Raw genomic sequence first — 8,029 nt, 5'->3', positions numbered from 1 at the left:
TCCTCACCTGAGGCAGACGCCTCACAAGATGATACTTGCCCTCTTCAAAGCCTGATGTTGACTCCCCTCCATGACTCTAGACCAATAACAATGGTCAAGTCTCATCAGGGACCAAGTGGGGAAGCACTGTCCCATCTATGGAAAGAAAAGGATGATTCACCAAAAGACCTGCAGGAGCTGGTGAACATTTACCAGAAGAATTTGGCAGAACATGTTTGGGAACATATCTTGAGGGTGTTAGACTGGGGTCAGGGGGTGGAATATAAGGCTGAGTAAGGCCGGGTCGGGTGGCTCATTCCTGTAATCCCAGCACTTTGGGAGACTGAGGCGGGAGGATCACCTGAGGTCAGGAATTCGAGAACAGCATGGCCAACATGGTGAAACCCCATCTCTACTAAAAATACAAAAAAATTAGCTGGGCCTGGTGGCGTGTGCCTGTACTCCCAGCTACTCAGGAGGCTGAGGCACAAAAGTCCCTTGAACCCGGGCAGTGGAGGTTGGCAGTGAGTCTAGATCGCACCACTGCACTCCAGCCTGGGTAACAGAGTAAGACTCCGTCTCAGAAAAAAAAAAAAAATGCTGAATAAGGGTACGTTTATTGATATGGAATGCCCTACCTGGTAAGGATTTAACATTTTATTTTATTTTATTTATTATTTATTTATTTATTTATTTATTTATTTATTTATTATTTATTTTGAGATGAGTCTTGCTCTGTAACCCAGGCTGGAGTGCAATGGTGCGATCTAGGCTCACTGCAACCTCCGCCTCCTGAGTTCAAGCAATTCTCCTGCCTCAGCCTCCCGAGTAGCTGGGATTACAGGTGCACACCACCATACCGGGCTAATTTTTGTATTTTTAGTAGAGACGGGTTTTCACCATGTTGACCAGTCTGGTCTCAAACTCATGACCTCAAGTGATCCATCTGCCTTGGCCTCCCAAAGTGCTGAGATTACAGGAGTGAGCCATCACGCCTGGCCTGGGATTTAACATTTTAAAGCTTGGCAAGGACACCAGAAGCCTGTTGCAATATGCCCCCGGGATAGATCTTCAAAGTGTGGAAAAACTATGAGTTCCAGCAAATGAGGTAGAGATGTTGGAACTTCCTTGACAGAATACTTGGAAGAATAAAGGCTCAGAAAAGTGGGCATGCCAGAATAAAATGACTATTATATAAGACTATAGAACCCTCCAGCCTACTGTGTTCTTCATGAGGGCCCAGAAATACTCAATAAATAAAGTGATACAAAAGGTGCTAGTTGGAACAGGGCCACTGGCATTTGCAGGTCAGTGGTAGCTGTCCTCAGCAGGCCAGAGCAATGGTAGCGGGAGCTGCTATGGGACTAGCCTTTCTAGAGTCAGTGGGTATAACAGGAGTCCAGAACGAGGTCAGGCGACAGCACGTGGTCATGAGAGGCTAAGTGGACATAATTACCGTAATAGGCAGAAAGACCAGAAATGTAAGCAGGGATCTATTGTGATGACCAAGAGACCATGGTGTTCCCAGATAGGAGGATGGTGAAGGAGGGTATCTCTTGCTTATAAAAACAAGCAAGAATGAGACAGCAGAAGGCTGAAGTTAGCCACTGCAAAGGAAAATCCCCATCCCATACCCAGTTTCCAGGCCCAAACCAGTTTTCAGATATAGAGCCCTTTGTCTTTTTTTTTTTTTTTTTTTTTTTTGAGATGGAGTCTTGCTCTGTCACCCAGGCTGGAGTGCAGTGGTGCAATCTTGGCTCACTGTAACCTCCACCTCCCAGGTTCAAGCGGTTCTCCTGCCTCAGCCTCCCAAGTAGCTGGGATTACAGGTGCTCGCCACCACACCTAGCTAATTTTTTGTATTTTTAGTAGAGACGGGGTTTCACCATGTTGGCCAGGCTGGTCTCGAACTCCTCACCTCAAGTGATGTGCCACCTCGGCCTCCCAAAGTGCTGGGATTACACATGTGAGCCACCAAACGTGGCCAAATATAGAGCCCTTTCATTGAAGTGGGGGCCAGTTCCCTTCAGGAAGAATCCTACAATGCCATGGCAAGTTTATATCATGGTAATTATCCTATTCTTCCCCCAAAGGTACTTACAGCTGCTTATCAGAGCAACTGCATCCTGGGGAAAGGGAAATACTCAGATCTTTCAAGGCTTTTGGATACAGAGTTGGAACTGACACTAATATTAAGGAACCAAAATGCCATCATGGGCATGTATTAGTGTGGGGCATATGGAGGCCAGGTGATGAAAGGAGATCTGGCCCATCAGTCTGCTTGATGGTTATTTCCCTGGCCCCTGAATACATAGTGGAATAGAGGTACTTAGTAGATAGCAGATCTCTCGCGTTGGTTTCCTGAAATAAGAGCCATTACCACACCTGTAATCCCAAGTGTGGAGGCCAAGGTGGGAGGATCACTTGAGCCCAGGAGTTTGAGAGCAGCCTGGGCAAAATAGTGAAACCTCATCTCTACAAAAAAATTTTTTTAAATTAGCTGGGTATCGTGGCACACTCCTGTAGTCCCAGCTACTCAGGACACTGAGGTGGGAGGATTGGTTAAGCCAGGGAGGTCAAGATTGCAGTGAGCTGAGATTGTACCACTGCACTCCACCCTGTGTGACATAATGAAACCATCTCCAAAAAAAAAAAGAATGAAATAAGAGTCATTAGGGTAGGAAAGGCCAATTAGAAATTGCTTCCTCATCTCCCTCCCAAGAGAGTTAATCAGAAGCAATGCCCCAGCCCAGGTGGAATGGCAGTGGTTGGAGTCACTCACAAAGGATATAAAAGTGGTGGTTCCCAGGATATCCCCATTTAATTCATCAATCTGGCTCTTGCAAAAACCAGATGGATCATTGTAGATGAGGGTGCACATAACCAAGTGGCGCCCTGATTGAGTGCTGTGCCAGATGTGTTAGCTTTCTTAGAACAGATCAACAGAGTCCCTGCCATTTAGTCCATGACTGTTAATTTGTTGAAGGAAGTAAGATTAGAAGCAGATTCCTGCCAGGCTCGGTGGCTCACGCCTGTAATACCAGCACTTTGGGAGGCCAAGGCAGGCAGATCACTTGAAGTCAGGAGTTTGAGACCAGCCTGACCAAGATGGTGAAACCCTGTCTCTACTAAAAATACAGGAATTAGCCAGACGTGGTGGTGGGTACCTGTAATCCCAGCTACTCAGGAGACTGAGGCACGAGAATCACTTGAACCCGGGAGAGGGAGGTTGCAGTGAGCCGAGATCGAGCCACTGTACTCTAGCGGGGGCAACATAGCGAGACTCAGTCTCAAAAAAAAAAGCCGATTCCTTTCCCTGAGGACAGACAAAAGTCCACATCCACAGTCTTACCCCAGGGCTATGTTAACTGTCCTGCTTTCTGTCATAATAGAGCAGAAACCTTGATCATCTTGGCATTCCACACAACATCACACAATCCATTGTACCGACGACATTGAGCTAATGGAACCTGGTGAACAGAAAGTGGCAAGGCACGTGCTTGCCAGAGGTTGGAGGATAAATCCTACAAAGACTCAAGGATCTTTGCAAAATTTGTCAGAGTCCAGTGAACTGGCACCACCATGTGTCTCCTATCCCTAGGAAAGATGCACAAAGCCTGGCAAGCCCCTTCAGATATGGGAGATGGCACATGCCACACTTGGAAATACTGCTCCAACTAATTTTCAGGGAACTCCGAAGGCTGCTGGTTTTGAGTGGGGCCCACAACAAGAGAGGTTTTTTTCAGTCCAGGCCAAAATGCAAAGTTCCCTGCCACTTGGGCTCATATAGCCTAGCAGATGCCATCTATCTATGATTCATAGGATGCTTTGGGGAGTCTCTGGCAAGCCCAGAAGGTTCTGGAGCAAGGCCATGCCATCTACAGCAGAGGACTGTTCCGGTTTTAAAAAATAATCTTCTGGCCGGGTGCATCGGCTCACACCTGTAATGCCAGCACTTTGGGAGGTCAAGGGATCACCTGAGGTCAGGAGTTCGAGACCAGCCTGGCCAACATGGTGAAACCCTGTCTACTAAAAATACAAAAATTAGTCAGGTGTGGTGGTGCACGCTTGTAGTCCCAGCTACTCGGGAGGCTGAGGCACGAGAATGGCGTGAACCCAGGAAGTGGAGGTTGCAGTGAGCCGAGATTGTGCCACTGCACTCCAGCCTGGGTAAGAGAACAAGTCTCTGTCTCAAAAAAAGAAGTCTTCGGTTGTGCTGCAGAGACCTGACCATTGGACAGGTATGGTGATGTGATCAGAGCTGCCCATTGCGAAGCGGGAACTGTCAGATACACCAAGTGACACAGTTGAGCAGGTGCAGCAATAATCCATCCTACCATGGAAATGGTGCATTCCAGATGAGGACTACTCAGCCTAAAGCGCACAAGTAAGTTACATGAACAGGCAGCCAGACCCCCAGGGCACGTATCCCTGTTGCAGCTATGTCTCTCCCTCAACTCACACCTTTGGCCTCATGGGGAGTTCTTTATCACCAGTTGACAGAGGAGGAAAAAAAGCCCCAGATCTAATTTACAGATAAAATGGCTTCCTAGGTTGGTGTGGACTGAAAATGAACTTCAGCCACATCACAGCCACAGTCAAGGGTGGCCCTGAAAGGCAGTGGTGAGGGGAAACCCCCTTGATGACAGAGCTGCTGACATTAGCACCTGGTCAGCAACATAAGGTGGAAGGAAAAGGGCTTTGAGCTAAGGATATACACAGATTACTAGGTAGAGGCCAGAGTCTTGTCTGATAGGTCAGAGACCTAGAAGGAGCAAGGCTGGAAGATCTGAGACGGGTTTTTGTGAGGGGAGGACAAATGGATGGATTTGCTGGAGTGAGCACAAAGTTTGCACTATGTCTCTATTGGTACCCCACGGTGAGCATCCTTTGCAGAAGGGGTACTAAGCAACCGGGCGGACAAGATAGCCTGGTCAGTAGATGTCCTTCAGCTTCTTTTTATTTTTATTTATTTATTTATTTTTGAGACAGGACCTCGCTCTGTTGCCCAGGAGTGCAATGGAGTGATCATGGTTCACTGCAGCCTTGACCTCCCTGGGCTCAGATGATCCTCCCACCTCAGCCTCCCAACTAGCTGGGACAACAGGCACACACCACCGTGTCTGGCTAATTGTGTGTGTGTGTGTGTGTGTGTGTGTGTGTGTGTGTGTGTGCAGAGACAGGGTTTTGCTATGTTGCCCAGGCTGGTCTCGAACTCCTGGGCTCAAGCGAGCTTCCTGCCTTGGCCTCCCAAAGTGCTGGGATTATAGGTATGAGCCACCGCACCCGGGAGACAGAGCTTGCAGTGACCTGAGATTGCGCCATTGCACTCCAGCCTGGGTGGCAGAGCAAGATTCTGTCTCAAAAAAAAAAAGCTACAGTATCTACTTGGAACTAATGGTCATTATATGGTGCTGTGTCTGCTATAGCTAGAATACATGGTTCCAGGAACCTAGGAATAGAAGTTGGAGTGATCCCCCTCACCATCCTTCCCAGGAACCCACTGGGAAATATATGTTTCTCACCCACACTACTTTTTTTTTTTTTTTTTAATTTTGTAGAGACAAGGTCTCACTATGGTGCACAGGCTGGTTTTAAACTCCTGGTATCAAACAATCCTCCTCCCTTGGCCTCCCAAAGTGCTGGGATCATAGGCATGAGCCACTGAGCCCTGCCTTTTAAAAAAAAAAAAATAGAGAGGGACAGCTGCTTGCTGTGTTGCCCAGGCTGAACTGCAGTGGCTATTTACCAGCAGGATTATCACACAAAACAGTCTTGAACTCCTGGGCTCAAGTGATCCTCCTGTCTCAGCCTCCGGAGTAGCTGGGACTACAGGTGTGCACCACGGTGTCCAGCTTTACCTCCTGCCACTTTATACTTTGGTAGACTAGTGATCATGATTGGTGATCCTGATTCCCAAGGGTAGGTGAAGGGAATGCTTCTACCAGGCCACTCAGTAAGGATTCCACTAAAACTGAAGCTATGGCTGCCTTATGATCGTTTTGAGCTCCTCGGGCCAGTAGATCAGCAGACAAAATAAAAAGAAGCTACTCTCCTGGCAGGGTAATCAACCCTGATTATCATGAGGAGACAGGGTTGCTGCTATATAATGGGTGCAGAAAGAATAAATCTAGACCTCAGGGGATTGACTGGTCACCTCGTGTTGACTCCATGAGTGATGATAACTGAATGGGCAACTGCAGCAAAACCATGATCTGAATGGATATGGAAACCAGGGGCTCAGACCCATCAGGAATACCCCCTGAAGCAGCATCATTCACCATAGCCAAAAAGTGGAGACAACCCAAAAGTCCATCAGCTGATGAATGGACCAACAAAATGTATTATATGCATACAATGGAATATTATTCAGCAATAAAAAGGAATGAAATACTGATACATGCTACAACATGGATGACCTTGAAAATATCATGGTTAGTGAAAGAAGCCAGCCACCAAAAAACCTATATTGTATGATTTTTTTTTTTTTTTTTGAGATGGAGTTTTGTTCTTGTTGCCCAGGCTGGAGTGCAGTGGCACAGTCTCTGCTCACTGTAATGTCCGCCTCCCAGGTTCAAGCGATTCTCCTGCCTCAGCCTCCCAAGTAGCTGGAAGTACAGGCTCCTATCACTATGCCCAGCTAATTTTTGTATTTTTAGTAGAGACGGGTTTCACCATGTTGGCCAGCCTGGTCTCGAACTCCTGACCGCAGGTGATCTGCTCACCTCAGCCTCCCAAAGTGCTGGGATTACAGGCATGACCCACAGCGCCCAGCCTATATTGTATGATTTTATTTACATGAAATGTCTAGAATAGGCAAATCTATAGAGACAGAAACAATATTAATGGTTGCCTAGGGCTGGAGGGAGGAATGAGGAGTGATGGCTGATGGGCATGGAATTTCTTTTTGGAGTGATGGAAATACTCTAAACTTAGAATGTAGTGGTTGTAGAACTCGGGGAGTAATAAAAGCCACTGAATTGTGCACTTTAAATGGGTGAATTTTATGGCATGTGAATTATACTTCAATAAAGATGTTACAAAGGAAACTTATAACAGTATACTTCCATTTCTTCTGTCCCTGACTTTGAATATTGTTGTTAGACATTTTACTGTAGTTGGTATATTCATGCATATTAATGAGATTGGCTATTTTTTCAGATGCTTATTGAGCCAGGTGAGGTGATGTGAGCCTATAGTCCCAGCTACTTGGGAGGCTGAAGCAGGAGGATTGCTTGAGGCCCGTCCTGGACTGTAGTGCGCTATGCAGATCGGGTGTCCACACTAAGTTCAGCATCGATATAGTGACCTCCCAGGAGTGGGGGACCAACAGGTTGCCTAAGGTGGAGTGAACCAGCCCAGGGTGGAAAGGGAGGAGGTCAAACCTCCCATGCTGATCAGTAGTGGGATCACGCCTGTGAATAGCCACTGCACTCCAGCCTGGGCAACATAGAAAGACCCCGTCTCAGCCAGGTGCGGTGGCTCACGCCTGTAATCCCAGCACTTTGGAAGGCCAAGGCAGGCGGATCACGAGGTCAGGAGATTGAGACCATCCTGGCTAACACGGTGAAACCCCGTCTCTACTAAAAATACAAAAAATTAGCCAGGCGTGGTAGTGGTAGGTGCCTGTAGTCCCAGCTACTCGGGAGGCTGAGGCAGGAGAATGGCATGAACTTGGGAGGCAGAGTTTGCATCGAGCCGAGATCGTGCCACTGCACTCCAGCCTAGGCGACAGTGCGAGGCTCCGTCTCAAAAAAAAAAAAAAGAAAGACCCTGTCTCTAAAAAAATAATAAAATTAATCAAATTCTTATTGGTCAGTTGGATTTTCTCTACTGTGAAGTTCCTCTTCAAAGTATTTTCGTCATTTTCTATTGAACTGTTTTTTGTTTTGTTTTGTTTTTTAATTGTTTTGTAGTAGTTCTTTATATGCTCTTTGTATATTCCAGATATTAATTTTTTTCGAGACGATCTCCCTCTGTCACCCAGGCTGGAGTGCAGTGGCACCATCACAGCTCACCGCAGCCTTGATTTCCTGGGCTCAAGCGATTC

General features: G+C 47.0%; 1 pseudogene; it reads left to right on the top strand.

Moving 5' to 3' along the window:
• Positions 7,152 to 7,446, top strand: RN7SL507P (RNA, 7SL, cytoplasmic 507, pseudogene; annotated as a pseudogene).

Source organism: Homo sapiens, chromosome 17 (assembly GCF_000001405.40).
Source record: "Homo sapiens chromosome 17, GRCh38.p14 Primary Assembly".
NCBI classification, from domain to species: Eukaryota; Metazoa; Chordata; class Mammalia; order Primates; family Hominidae; genus Homo; species Homo sapiens.
The sequence above is the reverse complement of the archived record's forward strand: the minus strand, read 5'-3'. Positions and strand labels throughout refer to the sequence as shown.